Here is a 17,806-nt window from a genome sequence, read left to right on the forward strand (position 1 = left end):
CCACAATGGGGTTTTCAGGTCAGCACCTGGCTCCCTACCTAGCAACTGTTTTTCCCAGATCCTCTTGCAAGGACGGGCAGTAAGGGCTGGCCAATGGGATAAGAGAAGAAAGAAGTGACATAATGATCTCTGGGTCAAGTCAGCTGGCTCAGTGTGGGTGCAACAGCAGGAGCTGGAGCAGCTGCTTTGGACCATGAGATGAGAGCTGAGTGTTAAGGAACAGAGCAGGGTTGCAGGAGTCTGGGGTGTTTGGATGACTTTGGGGGAGAAGATCAATCTTTGGGCCCTGACTGCCCACCTCTGGTCTCTTACCTCAGAGGGAAATACAGTTCCACCTTCTTTACGCCATTATTTTATTTTATTTTTTATTTTATTTTTTTTTGAGACAGAGTCTCGCTCTCGCCCAGGCTGGAGTGCAGTGGCCTGATCTCGGCTCACTGCAAGCTCCGCCTCCCGGGTTCATGCCATTCTCCTGCCTCAGCCTCCCAAGTAGCTGTGACTACAGGTGCCCGCTACCATGCCTGGCTAATTTTTTTGTATTTTTAGTAGAGACGGGGTTTCACTGTGTTAGCCAGGATGGTCTCAATCTCCTGACCTCGTGATCCGCCTGCCTCCACCTCTCAAAGTGTGGGGATTACAGGCGTGAGCCACCACGCCCGGCCCTTTAGGCCATTATTAATGGAGGGTGTTTGCCTCCCTGTGTGGGTCTCCTGGGTATTCTGTATGGTACTGTGTGGTAACTTACAGATTGTCTTTTTTTTTTTTTTTTGAGACAGTCTCGCTCTCTCCCCCAGGCTGGAGTGCAATGGCGCGATCTTGGCTCACTGCAACCTCCACCTCCTGGGTTCAAGCAATTCTCCTGTCTCAACCTCCTGAGTAGCTGGGACTACAGGCGTGTGCCACCACGCCCAGCTAAACTTTTTTAGTAGAGATGGGGTTTCACCGTGTTAGTCAGGATGGTCTGGATCTCCTCAGCTCATGATCTGCCTGCTTTGGCCTCCCAAAGTGCTGGGATTACAGGCGTGAGCCACCGTGCCCGGCCCAGATTGTCTTAAAGTGGGAGATGTGTGCTTCTCTAGGGATGTGCCAGCTGGACCAGTAAATCTCTATGGTCTATGGTCCCTCACAGTTTGTTTGTTTGTTTGTTTGTTTGTTTCTGTTTTTTTTTGTTGCTGTTGTTGTTGTTGTTGTTTTAGATGGAGTCTTGCTCTAGCTCCCAGGCTGGAGTGCAATGGTGCCATCTTGGCTCACTGCAACCTCCGCCTCCTGGGTTCAAGCAATTCTCCTGTCTCAGCCTCCCGAGTAGCTGGGATTACAGGCGCCTGCAACCACGCCTGGCTAATTTTTGGATTTGTAGGAGAGACAGTTTCACCATGTTGGCCAGGCTGGTCTCGAACTCCTGACCTCAAGTGATCCACCCACCTTGGCCTCCCAAAGTGCTGGGATTACAGGTGTGAGCCACCGAGCCCAGCCCCTCCCAGTCTTGAAATTCAGTGGTTATAGGATAGGACAGGTTTTGGTTAGGCTGAGGAAACCCAAAGTTTCAAGGCTCTGGACTGGATTCGGAGTTTTCCTTTCCTTTCTTTTCTTTTAGACAGAGTCTCACTCTATTGCTCATGCTGGAGTGCAGTTCATCATTGTTCATCACAGCCCTGATCTCCTGGGCTCAGGTGATCCTCCCGCCTCAGCCTCCTGTGTTGCTGGGACTACAGGCTCATGCCACCATGCCAGCTAATATATATAGATTTTTAAATACAGACAGATCTTGCTATGTTGCCCAGGCTGGTCTCAAACTCCTGGGCTCAAGTGATCCTCCTGCCTCACCCTTCTGAGTAGCTGGGATTACAGGTGCTTGGCTAATTTTTTTGTATTTTTTGTAGAGACGGGGTTTTGCTGTATTGCCCAGGCTTGTTTCTAACTCTTGGACTCAATTGATCCACCAGCCTCGGCCTCCGGAAGTGTTGGGATTACAGGCGTGAACCATCACACCCAGCCTGATCTTTTCTATCCTTCCTTCTTTCATGTGAACTCTTTTCCCTCGACCTCAGTTCTGACCTTCTGTAATTGAACTAGGAGATGGACTGCACTTAACGGAAAATAAAAAAGTAAGAAGCTCTGGGAATTTTCCTTTCAGTCTCTTGGGAAGTTGGGAGAGTTGATGACCATTTTGCAATGCCAAAAATCCAGTTTGTGAAATCCTGTTTTTTTTTCCCCTCTGTCAAAACAGAACAGAGTCATTTGGGGATTTTTATTGCCTCTCATTTTTTTTTAAGCCTTGTTTTCCCAGCGTGGCTGGGATGTTGAGTTTCCTGTTGAAGAAATATTTGGGTTGATTTGGCTCTGAGGCCTGTTAGGCAGGTGGGGGACTTCCCTGGGACAGGGAACAGGATGAGGGGGCTCAGAGGCTGGAGTTTACAAAAGTAGAGCTGAAGTTGGGAGGGGTTTCTGGGGCAGGAGTGGGTGGGGCTCAAGCCCAAACCCTGGAGAGGCTCGAGGCAGGGGCAGAAATGGAGGAGGGGGCCAGGCACAGTGGCTCACGCCTGTAATCCCAGCACTTTGGGAGGCTGAGGTGGGCGAATCACCTGACGTCAGGAGTTCAAGACCAGCCTGACCAACATGGAGAAACCCTGTCTACTAAAAATACAAAATTAGCCGGGGTGGTGGCACATGCCTGTAATCCCAGCTACTCGGGAGGCTGAGGCAGGAGAATCACTTGAACGTGGGAAGTGGAGGTTGGGGTGAGCTGAGATCGTGCCACTGCACTCCAGCCTGGGCAACAAGAGTGAAACTCCGTCTCGAAAAAAAAAAGAAAAGGTTTTGTCATGAGGAAGTTTCACACTGCTATTAAAATATTGAATTGCTAAAGGCAAAGAAGGAAGGTGCTGACATTCTCCTGAAATCTGAGGAACTTTAGGGTTGGCATTTGTGTTTTTTAAGCACAATTAGTGTTGACACATATTTGTTGGATGGGTTTCAAGTTCAGACACAGATTTTGTCACAGTGGTCCCTAGTTGATATGGTTTGGCCCTGCGTCCCCACCCAGATCTCACCTTGAATTGTGATAATCCCCACATGTCAAGGGTGGGACTAGGTGGCAGTAATTGTATTATGGGACCAGTTTTCCCCTATGCTGTTTTCATGATAATGAGTGAGTCTCATGAGCTCTGATTGTTTTATAAGCGTTTGACATTTGCCCTGCTGGCACTCATTCTCTCTCCTGCCACCCTGTGAAGAGGTGCCTTCTGTTAAGATTCTAAGTTTCCTGAGGCCTCCCTAGCTATGTGAAACTGTGAGTCAATTAAACCTCTTTATAAACTAACCAGTCTTGGCCAGGTGCAGTGGCTTATGCCTGTAAGCCCACCACTTTGGGAGGCCAGGGTGGGTGGATCACTTGAGTCAGGAGTTCGAGACCAGCCTGGTCAACATGGCGAAACCTCATCTCTACTAAAATACAAAAATTGGCCAGGTGTGGTGGCAGGTGCTTGTAACTCCAGGTACTCATGAGGCTGAGGTAGGAGAATTGTTTAAACCTGGAGGTAGAGGTTGCAGTGAGCCAAGATCGCACCACTGCATTCCAGCCTGGGTGACAGAGCGAGACTCCCTCTCAAAAACAAACAAACAAACAAACAAAAAAACAAACAAAACAAAACCCAGTGTCTTGGGTATTTCTTCATAGCAGAATGAGAACAGACCAGTAAATTGGTAGCAGGAGTTGGGTGCTGCTATAAGCATAACTGAAAATGCGGAAGCAACTTTGGAACTGGGTAACAGGCAGAGGTTGGAACGGTTTGGAGGGCTCAGAAGAAGACAGGAAAATGTGGAAAAGTTTCGAACTTCCTAGAGACTTGGAGGGCTCAAAAGACAGGAAGATGTGGGAATGTTTGGAACTTCCTAGAGACTTGTTGAATGCCTTTGCCCAAAATGCTGATTGTGGTATGAACAATGAAGTCCAGGCTGAAGTGATCTCAGGTGGAGATGAAGAACTTGTTGGGAACTCGGGTAAAGGTCATTCTTGCTATGCTTTAGCAAAGGGATTGGCAGCATTTTGCCCCTGCCCTAGAGATCTGTGGAACTTTGAACTTGAGAAAGATGATTTGGGGTATCTGGCAGAAGAAGCTTCTAAGCGGCAAAGTGTTCAAGAGGAAGCAGAGCATAAAAGTTCAGGAAATTTGCAGCCTGACAATGTGATAGAAAAGAAAAAGCCATTTTCTGGGGAGAAATTCAAGCTGCCTACAGAAATTTGCCTAATGAAGAGCTGAATGTTAACCACCAAGACAATGGGGAAAATGTCTCCAGGGCATGTGAGAGACCTTCACGGCTGCCCCTCTCATCACAGGACCTGAGGCCTAGGAGAGAAAAATGGTTTCCTGGGCTGGGCCCAGGGTCCCACTGCTCTATGCCACCTTGGGACATAGTGCCCTGTGTCCCAGCTGTTTCAGCTCCTGCCATGGCTAAAAGGAGCCAAGGTCAGGTCAGGCCATTGCTTCAGAGGGTGCAAGCCCCAAGCCTTGGTGGCGTACACGAAGTGTTGGGCCTGCAGGTACACAGAAGTCAAGAATTGAGGTTGGAGAACCTCTGCCTAGATTTCAGAGGATGTATAGAAATGCCTGGATGTCCAGGCAGAAGTTTGTTGCAGGGGCAGAGCCCTCATGGAGAACCTCTGCCAGGGCAGTGCAGAAGGGAAATGTAGGATTGGAGCCACCACACGGAGTCCCCACTGGGGCACTGTATAGAGCAGCTGTGAGAAGAGGGCCACCATCCTCCAGACCCCAAAACAGTAGATACACCAACAGCTTGCACTGTGTGCCTGAAAAAGTCACAAACACTCAACACTAACCTGTGAAAGCAGCCAGGAAGAGGAGCTATATGCCACAAAGACACAGGGGTAGAGCGGCCCAAGGCCATGGGAGCCCACCTCTTGCATCAGCATGACCTGGATGCAAGACATGGAGTCAAAGATCATTTTGGAACTTAAAGGTTCAGTGACTTCCCTATTGAATTTCAGACTTCCATGGGGCCTATAGCCCCTTTATTTTGGCCAGCTTCTCCCATTTGAATGGGTGAATTTACCCAATGCCTGTACCTGCATTGTGTCAGGAAGGAAATAACTAACCTGCTTTTGATTTTACAGGCTCATAGGCAGAAGGGACTTGCCTTGTCTCAGATGAGGCTTTGGACTTGGAGTTTTGGGTTAGTATTGGAGTATGTTTAGATTCTGGGGGACTGTTGGAAGGGCATGATTGTGTCTTGAAATGTGAGGAGATGAGATCTGGGAGGAGCTAGAGGCAGAATGATATGGTTTGGCTCTGTATCCCCACTCAAATCTCACCTTGAATTGTAATAATCCCCACATGTCAAGGGCGGGACCACGTGGAAGTAACTGGATCATGGAGGGCGGTTTCTCCCATGCTGTTCTCATGATAATGAGTGTGTCTTATGAGATCTGATGGTTTTATGTGTCTGGCATTTCCCCTGCTAGTGCTCATTCTCTCTCCTGCCGCCTTGTGAAGGGGTGCCTTCTGCCATGGTTGTAAGTTTCCTGAGGCCTCTCCAGCCATGCAGAACTGTGAGTCAATTAAACCTCTTTTCTTTATAAATTACCCAGTCTCGTGGATGGCTGTACCACCCTGAATACGCACAATCTCATCTGATAAATTACCCAGTCTAGGGTATTTCTTCATAGCAGTGTGAAAATGGAGTAATACACTGACCTTACCTCACACTTCCCATCTCATTATTATTATTTTAATTTAGTCATGGTAAAACAAGCCTGGTGCAGTGGTTCGCTTCTGTAATTTCTACACTTTGAGAGGCTGATGCCAGAGGATTGGTTGAGGCCAGGAGTTAGAGACCAGCCTCAGCAACATAGCAAGACCCTCTCTCTATTAAAAAATAATAAGACCGGGTGCAGCGGCTCATGCCTGAATTTCAGCACTCTGGGAGGCATTTTGAGCCACTGCACTCCAGCCTGGGTAACAGAGCGAGACCCTGGCTCAAAACACAAAAAAATTGTGGTAAAATATACACAAGATAAAAATCGATCCTTCTGGCCATGTGTAAGTGTACAGTTCAGGAGTGTTCAGTGCATTCACATTGTTGTGGGGAGTCATGCTCTTTATTTTGAATATTACCCTGCAGGGTTGTGGAGGTGTGCATTTCTTGTTTCTCACTGAGCCTTCACTGTGATCAATCCCTGTTGTTTCCTCCCAGACTCAAATAGAATGAACGCCCCCTGATATTTTAGCCTGGAGGGGATCACATTTGGGGACTTTAGACCAAGCTGGGGTCAAAGGTGATGTTCCACCACCCTTTGCCTTCAGCCCCCAGCCTGGCTCAGCAGCACAGGAGAGGACTGCTGGGTGGGCTTCCTCCATGACCTAGTGGAGGATCTTCCAGGGCAGAGTAGGCCCTTATTGTCTCTGAGATACCCCTCCACCCAGAAACAGCTGGTCCAGCAGCATGGTGGTGGCATGACCTCCTGAAGGCTCAGGTACAACCCCAGTTGGGAGGAAACACGCTGAAAAGATGAGGCTCTGTCTTGTAGGATACAGTGTGTGGTGACTCAGAGACCCGCACATTCCATGACAGAACACACAGCCAGGAATCATGACTGCACTGAGTCATCACCCACAGAATTGTCATTTCCGGTTCCTGAAACTTGGAGCTCTGCTGGGGTAAAGGTCTTGGTCCCCAAGAGAGGAGTGTTTCTACCAGCAGACAACAATGGTTCCACTTAGTCAGAAGCTGAGATTGCCACCTGGCCATGTTAGGCTCCTTATCCACTGAACCAAAAACGCATGCACACACACGCAAAAGAAAATAATGCACGCACACTCACAAACGTATACGTATTTTACTCATACATACATACATTTCTTCCTTTCCTCCTCCTCACTCTTCTCCCCTCCTGTCTAACTTCCTATTGTCTTCTCCTCTCTTCCTCCTTCCCCGGATTTATTTCAGCATTGATGTTGGTGATTAAGTTTAAAATGTATTATATAAATATTTTATATATATTTAACTACTTAATTTTTTTTTTGAGACATGGTTTTGCCATGTTGCCCGGGCTGGTCTCGAACTCCTGAGCTCAAGGGATCCGCCTGCCTTGGCCTCCCAAAGTGCTAGGATTATAGGCATGAGCCACCATGCCTGGCCTATACATCTATACATTTTCTTTGCTTTTCTTTCTTTCTTTTTCTCTTTCTTTCTCTTTCTTTCTTTCTTTCTTTTCCTTCCTTCCTTCCTTCCTCCCTCCCTCCCTCCTTTTTTTTTTTTTTTTTTTCTGGAGTCTCGCTCTGTCACCCAGGCTGGAGTGCAATGACGTGATCTCTGCTCACTGCAAGCTCTGCCTCCCGGGTTCACGCCATTCTCCTGCCTCAAACTCCCAAGTAGCTGGGACTACAGGCACCTGCCACCACTCCCAGCTAATTTTTTTGTATTTTTAGTAGAGACGGGGTTTCACCGTGTTAGCCAGGATGGTCTCGATCTCCTGACCTCGTGATACAACTGCCTCGGCATCCCAAGTGCTGGGATTACAGGTGTGAGCCACCGTGCCCGGCTCTCCCTTCCTTCCTTTTCCTTCTTTCTTTCTTTTCTTTCACTTTCTTCTTTCCTTCTTCTCTCTTTTTTCTTTCTTTTCTTTTCTTCTTTTCTTTCCCTCCCTCCCTCCCTTCCTTCCCTTCCTTTTCCCTCCCTTCCTCCCTTCTCTCTCTCTCTCTTTTTATTTTTGAGATGGCGTCTTACTCTGTCACCCAGGCTGGAATTGTCAACCAGGCTGGAATGCAGTGATCTCGGCTCACTGCAACCTCCGCCTTCTGGGTTCAAGCAATTCTCATTCCTCAGCCACCTGAATGGCTGGGATTACAGGCATGCACCACCATGCCCGGCTAATTTTTGTATTTTTTGTTGAGATGGGGTTTTGCCATGTTGCCCAGGCTGGTCTCAAACTCCTGGGCTCAAGTGATCTTCCTGCCTCGGCTTCCCAAAGTGCTGAGATTACAGGCACGAGCCACATCGCGCCCAGCCTAAAATGTATTCTTTAGATTGCAGAACACACAGGTGAGGTTGTGGTTGACTTGGAAGAGTAATTAACCTTTCCCAGAGATGGACACAGTGATCCTTTGGACTTTGTGTCTCCTCTGGGGGAAGGGAGTGAAAGTATCTTTCTAGGAAGAGAAGGTCCATCACTCGAAGCAGAAGGATGACATGCTTGTTGCTGTTGATGGAGGTGCACCTGTGTTAGTGGGGCCGCCCATGCTATGGGGCTGGGCTCCCGGCCCCCTGCTTGGGTGGGAGCCTCTGCACACTGCGTGTCTCCTTTGCCATCTGGCAGCCTGTTGTGCTCTGCCAACAGGAGAGACTAGAGAGAGACTGGAAGGCTGGAGGAGAGAGGAAAGACTTATTCCTTATTTGCTCAGTGTCCTGCCAAAATCACCCTGCTGATGGCTCTTCAGTCAGCAGCAGCACACAGTTCCAAAGTTCTCTCTGTGCTCCGAGAACCAGCTGCTCAGAGGCTCTGGCACTCCCTCCTTTGAGGCCTGGGTGCTGCCTCAGGGGGGTTCCCTTCTCCAAGATCCTGAGGCTGGGCAGCCTCTCCTCCTCCTCAGAGGTGTGACTTCTTTTTCGAGCCAGAGTGTCACTCTGTCACCTAGGCTGGAGTGCAGTGGTGCTATCTCGGCTCACTGCAACCTCTGTCTCCCAGGTTCAAGCGATTCTCCTGCCTCAGCCTCCCAAGTAGCTGGGACTGCAGGCGCCTGCCACCATGCCCAGCTAATTTTTTGTATTTTTTTTTTTAAGTAAAGACGGGGTTTTACCATGTTAGCCAGGCTGATCTTGAACTCCTGGGCCCAAGTGATCCACCTGCTTCGGCCTCCCAAAATGCTGGAATTACAGCTGTGAGCCACTGTGCCCTGCCTAGAGGTGTGACTTCTAGCCCCGGGCACCCCCTCCAAGCTTCTAGGCTCTAGTAGCTCCCACCTCTTCGTCTCGCCTCCTCTGGTGTGGTAGCTGCTTCTTGGAGATGGCCTTTTCTGCTGCCTTCAGGGTTCTCTTTATGGCTTTGTCAATGCCTCTTTAGCTAACTCCCTACACATTAAATACTTTATGGTAAAATAACTCATAAGGTTCCTGTTTTCCTAACTGGACCCTGGCTGATTCATGGAGACGATGCTTCATCCATTCATTCCTTCACTCATTCATTTAGCAGTCACCTGACACTTCCTTTGTGCCAGGTCCCAGGCAGGGCGATGCTGGCAGCTCACAGATAAATCAGACACAGTTCTTATCCTGGAGGAGCTCGGTCTGATGGGGGAGATGCTTACAGGCAAAACAGAGCAGCAAGTGCAGTGCAGGGGGATTCGGGGCCGTGTCCACCGGTCAGCATGGGATCCCCGTCCAGCCCAGGGCCTCTAGACAACCCTCCCTGAGGATTCACACTCTCCATCCCTGGGAGCTGCTGTGGGCTGGGGACAGATGGGAGTTGCATCAGTGCAGCCAGGGGTGAGGGGGGCTCTCTGGGGGCTGTTGAGGCCATTCTGCTCAAACCAGCTCATGACAAGCTTATGGGATCCAGATGCCTCCGCTGGCTCCAGCGCCTGCAGAGCCCGGGCCAGGCCTCTCAGAGCAGCCAGGGAGGCCGAGCCAGGCACTGGGCATGGTTGCCAGCAGCAGGGCGAGCTAGGGGAACTTACTCCCCAGGGCTTCACTCTGCCTGGATGCCCACATTACACTCAAGTTTCTTGGCTTCTAACAGTCTGCACTTTCCCTGACAAAATGGACCTGACTGTAGCTTGCATGTGACTGTGTGGAAAGAGGGGTGGTCTTGTGGCCCTGCCTGCATTTCCCCATTAGCAAGTTGGCCCTTCTTGGTTTATCTGAGGGAGGGTGGAGCACAACATAAGCCCAGGCTTGGGTCAGACAGATCTGGACTGTGGCCCTGTCTCCTAGGAGCTGTGAACTTCGGGCAAGGCCTCCAACTTCTCAGGGCCTTGGAGTTCTCCTGGGTCACACGGGGCTCATGTCTGCCTTTCAGAGTTCTGTGCAGAAGAGGGAGAGGGAGTGCTTTGTGAAAGGTAAAATCCTGTAGCCGGTGAAAGGGGTTATTCTACAACCTGGTCTTGTCCTTGAGATGCTTGCAGCCTGCAGGGAGACAGAGGTGCTCTATGGACAGAGGACAGAAGAGGACCATAGGGCCAGGCTGGAGGTGGGAGTCATTCTGGGCTCAAGATTGAGCTGCTGCCACTGTTCTGGATGGCAGGAGCTGAAGATGCCCTAGACACAGCTGTGTGACTCTGAAAATACACTTGCCCTCTCTGGGCACTCCTCTTTGGCAAAATGACAATCATGATACCCATGTCAGAGGGCTGGGTGAGGTAGCACGTGGTGGGCACTTTCCCCTGGACCATGCCTGCCACCCAGGGACATCACATGGGCCTCCACTGCCCCTGGACTTTGGGATGTGGCCTCCTGGCATGGATGCCCTCTCGTGGCTCTGCGGGCTGCACCTGGACCATTCCTCCCAAGCCCTGACACAGGCAGCTTCCAAGGTAGCTGGGTCCAAACCCCCAATCCCAGATCCCACCCATGCGTCACAAAGGGCCTGTGGCCACATTCCAGCTCTTACCCCAAGACCCCTGAAGATCTTCATCCAATCAGGAATTCTAGGGCCAGAAACTGGGCAAAGGCTCCCCGGTTCCCTGCCCAGCTTTGCAGATGGAGAAACTGAGGCTCCAAGAAGATGTAACTTGCTCAGATCTCACAGGGAGTTTGTGGCCGGTTCTATCAGCTGCTAGAAAAACATTCTGTCCATGACACTGCAGGGCAGCCCTCCAAGGGATCTCTCAAGTGTGGTTTACACATCCTCAATTAACTCTCTCGAGTTTCTTTTTTTCTTTTTCTGAGATGGAGTTTTGCTCTTTTTGCCCAGGCTGGAGTGCAATGTCAAGATTTCGGATCACTGCAACCTCGGCCTCCTACGTTTAGGCGATTCTCCTGCCTCAGCCTCCCAAGTAGCTGGGATTACAGGCGCCCGCCACCACACCCAGCTAATTTTTTTTTTTTTTGAGGCGGTTTCTTGCTCTGTTGCCAAGGCTGGAGTGCAGTGGTGCGACCTCGGCTCACTGCAACCTCCACCTCCTGGGTTCAAGCAAGTCTCTGCCTCAGCCTCCCGAGTAGCTGGGATTACAGGCACTCGCCACGCCCGGCTAAGTTTTGTATTTTTAGTAGAGATGGGTTCTGACCATGTTGGCCAGGCTGGTTTCAAACTCCTGACCTCAGGTGATCCACCTGCCTCAGGCTCCCAAAATGCTGGGATTACAGGCGTGGGCCACTGCGCCTGGCCCTCTCTTGAATTTCTAAGGTAATTTTTGAGGTGAATTTCCCAGGGGCCCCAAGGCTCTAAATTCCAAGGCCCAGCCTGGCCCCTCCCCACTCCCTGGTCTGGAGGCCTAACTCACCCTATCAGCAGCCCCTGCTGTTGGGGGCACTGAGGGTTTTTTTTTTTTTTTTTTTTTTTTGAGATGGAGTCTCGCACTGTTTCCCAGGCTGGTGTGTGCAGTGGCGTGATCTCGGCTCACTGCAACTTCTGCCTCCTGGGTTCAAGCAATCCTTCTGCCTCGGCCTCCTGAGTAGCTGGGATTACAGGTGCCTGCCACCATGCCTGGCTAATTTCTGTATTTCTAGGAGAGATGGGGTTTTGCCATGTTGGTCAGGCTGGTCTTGAACTCCTGGCTTTAAGTGATTCACCCACCTTGGCCTCCCAAAGTGCTGAGGCTACAGGTGTGAGCCTCTGCACCTGGAGGCCCTGAGGTCTTTAGGGCAACATCAGAGGGGTGTGAGTGGCCAGGAGAAGGCCTGGGGTTTGTGCAGGTCCCTCAGCCTCTGGGGACGTGAGTTTCTCATTTATTCATCCCTCAGTAAGCAGGCATGTCCTGTCCAACCCTGGATTGGGCTGGGGCCAAGAGGGAACCCCACCCTGGGCTCCAGGAGGAGTACATGGTCTCATGGCATAGACAAATGGGGTCTCCTATACCACAGGAAAGGACAGCAAGGCCAGAGAAGAAAAAGCTCCCTCACTCCACAGAGCACAGATGGACAAAAGCCCCTGCTCCTAGGCCCAGCTGTGCCTGCAGGGTGCAGTCGGCCTGCATCTGTCCCAGATCTCCTTGAACTCTGGCCTGGCCTCTGCTCTGAGGGTATGGGCGGGGCTGGCAGAGACCTGGCAGAGCCTTCATCATCCCCTGCCAGTGCCCCCTCCCCCAGGGCCCCTGTAAGGCTCCCCTGATCCCTGCCAGCTGCCTTCTATAAATAGGTGGGTGTGGCCACTTGCCTTTGTCCCAGACCAGGGTGCCTGGCGCTGCTGACACAGGGGGCTCTGAGGGCCCCAGCTTTTGGTTCTCTTTCCTGAGGCCACGTGTCAGCAGCAGCTCCAGAACTTCTCCATGCTACCCTGCTCACTCCTTGGATGCTGCTGGCTCTGGTCCTCTCCCCATCTCCCCCAGGCCCTCCTCCAGAACCCACTCTCTGGGGGCAGGCAGCCCCTAGAATGGGTGCTCAGGTTCCATGCCCCTCATTCAGCTGCCTCACCCAGAACCAGCCCTCCTTCCTACGGCACCACTTCCCATCACCTTAAGGTCAGCTTCTCAATCTGGGTCCCCGGGAGCCACATCTCTGGGGGGCCCCTCACATTCAGTCTCAGCTGCGTGTCTCATCTGCTCATCCTCCCATCTCTCCAGCCACTTGGCCAGAAGCCAGGCTGCACCCTAAATCCCCAACATCCAGCCCTGTTCCCTGGCCCAAGTGCCTCTCCAACTGCCCTCTCCTCCACCCTCACGGCCTCTGTCTTGTTGTTCATGTCAATGTTCTTGAAGTCCACAAACTCTAAATCTAAAATCGGTGAATTTTCACCAAATTACACACCACTTAACCAGCACCAGATCAAGAAACAATAACCAGCCCGGGCGCGGTGGCTCATACCTGTAATCTTAGCACCTTGGGAGGCCAAGGCAGGTGGATCCCTTGAGGCCAGGAATTTGAGACCAGCCCAGGCAACATGGTGAAACCCCGACTCTACAAATAAAGTTAAAAATTAGCTGGGCGGGCGTGGTGGCCCATGCCTGTAGTCCCAGCTACTTCAGAGGCTGAGGGGGGAGGATCTCTTGAGCCCAGGAATTTGAGGCTGCAGAGAGCCATGATTGCACTACCGCACTCCAACCTGGGTGGTGGTGCAATGGCACCATCTCGGCTCACTGCTACCTCCACTTCCTGGGTTCAAGCGATTCTTGTGCCTCAGCCTCCCAAGTAGCTGGAATTACAGATATGCGCCACCAAGCCCAGCTGATTTTTGTATTTTTAGTATAGATGGAGTTTCACCATGTTTGCCAGGTTGGTCTTGAATTCCTGACCTCAAGTGATCCGCCCGCCTCGGCCTCCCAAAGTGCTGGGATTACAGGCGTGAGCCACCACACCTGGCCTCAGCCCAGCCTCTTAATGCAACTATGTAAATGGGCCAGGATCCAGCTGGCCAGAAATAAGAGTAGGATCCAGCTGGCCAGAAATAAGAGTAGCATCCTGGAGAACACAGAGGCAGTGAGGACAGGCACAGGCAGGGCAGAGGTAACAGCAGAAAGGCTGCAAGGCCAGAAGATGCCCGCTGCCACCACACCACCCGGCCAGGTGAGGACCCCAGCCTCTGCCCATCACAGTGCTGTGTTCTTGCACCTCTGGGCTGGGAGCAATGGGTCTAAGGCCCGGGGCAGGGCAGGGGTCCCAAAGATCCTCCGTTCCTGCCTCCTGGCCACCGACCCCTGGCCAGAGTTGTGCATCTCCTCTTTTGCAAAGAGATGGGTGGTGCCCCCTCCCAGCATGGTTGTAATGATCAAATGAGCCAGCCCAGCCCCTGGCACAGAACACATTCTCTACGACACAGAGTGGTGTTATCACACCTCCACTTTCCACACAGAGAAAGAAGCTCAGCAAGTAGGTGGCGGTGCTGGGATTTGAACCCAGACCTTCACTGTTCTGTGCACAGGGTAGGAAGGAGGCTGGCTGGGGAGCCGAGAAGGGGTCCAGTGCCTGCCTCGGGGGGCAGCTACCACTCTTCACCTCCCTGCGCCAACAGCCACAGACCAGAGTCTAATGTCCCCTTCCGAGCCCCCACAGCTACCGGAGGAGTCTGGCTCCTGCCCTCTGCCTTGGGGGATTCCAGAGGGACCTTGCACTTTGTCCTGCCCCTGCCTAACAGAGCCGGCTGTCGCCTGAGGCCCTGGTTTCCTCAGGCTGCCCCCGCCTCAGGAGCAGGAGCTGGAACAGTTGTTGGGCAACGGAGTTCTGGGAAAGGAGGAGGGAGGGGCGCTCGCTCTGGTGGAAACCTGCCCTGGGGAAATGTAATCAGATCCTCAGAGCAGCGGTTTGTTCCTGGCTTGTTTCTAGTGGGTGTGTTCACAGACGTTTTTGGCCAGGACTGAGAAAGACGTGGACCTATCCTTTACTGGGGGAGCACTGCGTGGCCTGGGGCCGGTGTCCAGTCGGTTATTTAAGAATCTTCCCAGCTGGCCAGGCATAGGCAAGCAGGGAGTCGTTTTCCCAGCAGCTCTAGGGGAAGGAAAATAATTCCCCCTTGCTGGTGTATCAATATTCAACTTCTTGTTTAAATATTAAATTGTAATGTCCTCTGAGTGCCCAACAGAGATCGGGGATGAGTGAGCCCCCGTGTTCCTGGAAGTCTGGTTTCATGGTTCACTTGTTCCTAAATCTCTGCTTGTTCTAACTTGGACTAGCCCAGTGCAAGGCGTGCTCGGAATTCTGCTGTGAGGTTGGGGGTCAGGGTGGGACCAGGCTTCAGGCCCTGGACTCAGGTGTGATCTGTGCTGCGGTGGGGTTGGGGGAGGAGGAGCATCCCCTTCCAGGGTGGGTGTGGCGGCAGCAGCAGCAGCAGCAGCAGGAAACCAAGGGGAGGTGAGACGTGAGACATTCCTCCCAGCTTTAGTCCACTGCCAAAAATCAGAACCCAGCCCCGGTCCCCACCAACTTCCAAGGAGAGAAACGAGACCAGGCCAGGCACGGTGGCTCATGCCTGTAATCCCAGCACTTTGGGAGGCCAAGGTGGGCAGATCACCTGAGGTCAGGAGTTCGAGACCAGCCTGGCCAACACAGTGAAATCCTGTCTCTACTAAAAATACAAAAATTAGGCCAGGCACGGTGGCTCATGCCTATAATCCCAGAACTTTGGGAGGCCGAGGCGGGCTGATCACCTGAGGTTGGGAGTTTGAGACCAGCCTGACTGACCAACATGGAGAAACTCTGTCTCTACTAAAAATACAAAATTAGCTGGGTGTAGTGACGCACACCTGTAATCCCAGCTACTCGGGAGGCTGAGGCAGGAGAATTGCTTGATCCCGGGAGGTGGAGGTTGCGGTGAGCCGAGATCGCGCCATTGCATTCCAGCCTGGGCAACAACAGTCAAACTCTGTCTCAAAAAAAAAAAAAGAAGATTGTTTCTGTCTCACATTACAGTCCCAAGGTGAGTGCTCCAAGGCCACTGGGGCCACTCTGCCACCCCCAAAATGTGCCCTGCAAAGCACTCCAGCTGCTGCCATGCTCCAGCCAGTGGGAAGCGGGTTAGAGTGCCCAAAGCAAATGTCTTTAAGATCATCCATGAGTTGCCCGCATCACTCCTGTTCACATCCCATTGGCCTGGACTTAGTCACATGGCCACAGCCAGCTGCCAAGGGGAGGTGCTATGTCTGCCTAGAACTCGCTGTGTTCTTTTTCTAAGGACCACAAGAAGAATGGACACTTGAGGATGGTAAATAGCATCTAACACACGAGACAAGGAGTCGGGATAGGGCGCTTTCAGGGTTGGTTAATTCAGCAGCTCGCTGAGGTCTTCATGTCTTCAAGGATGCAGTATGGTGACATTTGATCTCAGACTTGTCCCCTCACGGCCTCAAGATGGCTGCCATTGCTTGGAGCATTACACCCTTTTGCCAAATGCAGAAATGTTGCTTTCTTGTCTATGAACATTTTCTCAGAGCCCTCTTTTCCAGCTGACTTGCCCTCTCATTGGCCAGAATAGCATTATATGCCCATTTCCACTCAAATTACTAGGAAGGGACTGGAATGACTAGGACTGGCTTAGACCAAAAGAGATTCACCCCCAGGCCTAGGGAGGGCCCACTTCCTCTACAGCCCTAAGCTACCTGAGGGTTGAACAAACTTGGGGTTTCCTTAGCAAGAAAGAAGCGGGAGGAGAATGGCCGTGGATAAGGAGTCAACAGCATCCTCCCTGGGAACTGGCACTTCCTACCCACCTCTCTGCCCTAAGCAGACATTTATGCACATAATTTCATAATTTCCTTTTTTTTTTTTGAGATGAAATCTCAGTCTGTCACCCAGGCTGGAGCGCAGTGGTGCGATCTTGGCTCACTGCAAACTCCGCCTCCCGGGTTCAAGCAATTCTGCCTCTGCCTCCCGAGTAGCTGGGACTATAGGCGCCCCAAGTCATGCACAGCTAGTTTTTGTATTTTTAGTAGAGATGGAGTTTCACCATATTGGCCAGGCTGGTCTTGAACTCCTGACCTTATGATCTGCCTGCCTCAGCCTCCCGAAGTGCTGAGATTACAGGCATGAGCCACCGTGCCCGGCCTTTTTTTTTTTTTTTTTTGAGACGGAGTCTCGCTTTTGTCAGCCAGGCTGGAGCACAGTGGTGCGATCTCGGCTCACCACAACCCCTGCTTCCCAGGTTCAAACAATTCTCCTGCCTCAGCCTCCCGAGTAGCTGGGATTACAGGTGCCCACCACCACACCTGGCTAATTTTTGTATTTTTAGTAGAGACGGGGTTTCACCATGTTGGCCAGGCTGGTCTTGAACTCCTGACCTCATGCTGGCACCGAGTAGGCACTCACTGTATGATGGTCAAATGACTAAACAATGCTGGACTCTAAAAGGTCATCTCACTTGTTCACATACATATATAGTTAGGATATGATTTGTATTATTTAAGTAAAACCTGCTCATTTGAAATGCTGCTGTGGCTGGAGAAATCACTGACTTAACAATCCTTTGTATTCATCAAAAACAAAACCTGGGCCAGGTGCAGTGGCTTACCTGAGGTCAGAATCGCTTGAACCCGGGAGACAGAGGTTGCAGTGAGCCGAGATGGGGCCACTGTACTACAGCTTGGGTGACAGAGCGAGACTCTGTCTCAAAAAAAGAAAGAAAGAAACCCAAGAAAACGACACATAACCTGCTCTTGAATACTCCTAAGAGCCAGGGAGCTCACCTCCTTCCCACGCTGCTCAAGACGGTCTGTGGGCAGAAAACGGAGGCCAATGAATGCCTCCCCCTTCAGCTGCCAAAAAGCAGCCTGCTGGGCCCCAGTGTTCCTGGCAGCACCCCCAGTCCTGGTGGGGAACGCCTAGGCAGCTTCCACAATGCAAACCAGCTGGGGTCTCGCCCTGCGGGGAGCAGATATTCCTATGGCCCAGTCCTGGAGCCGCCCACAAGGCACTTCAGGTCCCTCCCGGGATTTCAGCCACAGGCCCTCACAGCTCCCTCACTGGGACCTCTCCCTGGATGGGTGGCAGCTCAGCCCTGCTCCGGCGGTGGGCTCCTCAGTGTCCACATTTGGTCCCATTTATGTTAAACAGATTCAGGCTTGTCATGGGGGGAGTTGTGCTGGTGGGACCCAACCTTCCGTGTTTGTGAGCCTTGAAAAAGGAGGAGGGAAAAACAGGCTCCCCCCATTCCCCACTGCGGGGGCTCTCCATCACCAGGGACACTGGGGCTATGAGCCAGGTCCCGAGCCCT

The 17,806-nt window shown here is 51.8% G+C and overlaps 3 annotated features.

The window, feature by feature from the left end:
• Positions 11,885–12,776: an enhancer, noted in NCBI's record as "H3K4me1 hESC enhancer chr22:43082077-43082968 (GRCh37/hg19 assembly coordinates)". NCBI's record gives its function as "activates a minimal SCP1, AML or CMV promoter by ChIP-STARR-seq in primed H9 embryonic stem cells {active_cell/tissue: H9 hESC(primed)}" and the evidence as "EXISTENCE:reporter gene assay evidence [ECO:0000049][PMID:30033119]".
• Positions 12,777–13,666: an enhancer, noted in NCBI's record as "H3K4me1 hESC enhancer chr22:43082969-43083858 (GRCh37/hg19 assembly coordinates)". NCBI's record gives its function as "activates a minimal SCP1, AML or CMV promoter by ChIP-STARR-seq in primed H9 embryonic stem cells {active_cell/tissue: H9 hESC(primed)}" and the evidence as "EXISTENCE:reporter gene assay evidence [ECO:0000049][PMID:30033119]".
• Positions 13,667–14,558: an enhancer, noted in NCBI's record as "H3K27ac-H3K4me1 hESC enhancer chr22:43083859-43084750 (GRCh37/hg19 assembly coordinates)". NCBI's record gives its function as "activates a minimal SCP1, AML or CMV promoter by ChIP-STARR-seq in naive H9 embryonic stem cells {active_cell/tissue: H9 hESC(naive)}" and the evidence as "EXISTENCE:reporter gene assay evidence [ECO:0000049][PMID:30033119]".

Source organism: Homo sapiens, chromosome 22 (genome assembly GCF_000001405.40).
Source record: "Homo sapiens chromosome 22, GRCh38.p14 Primary Assembly".
In the NCBI taxonomy this organism is placed as follows: Eukaryota; Metazoa; Chordata; class Mammalia; order Primates; family Hominidae; genus Homo; species Homo sapiens.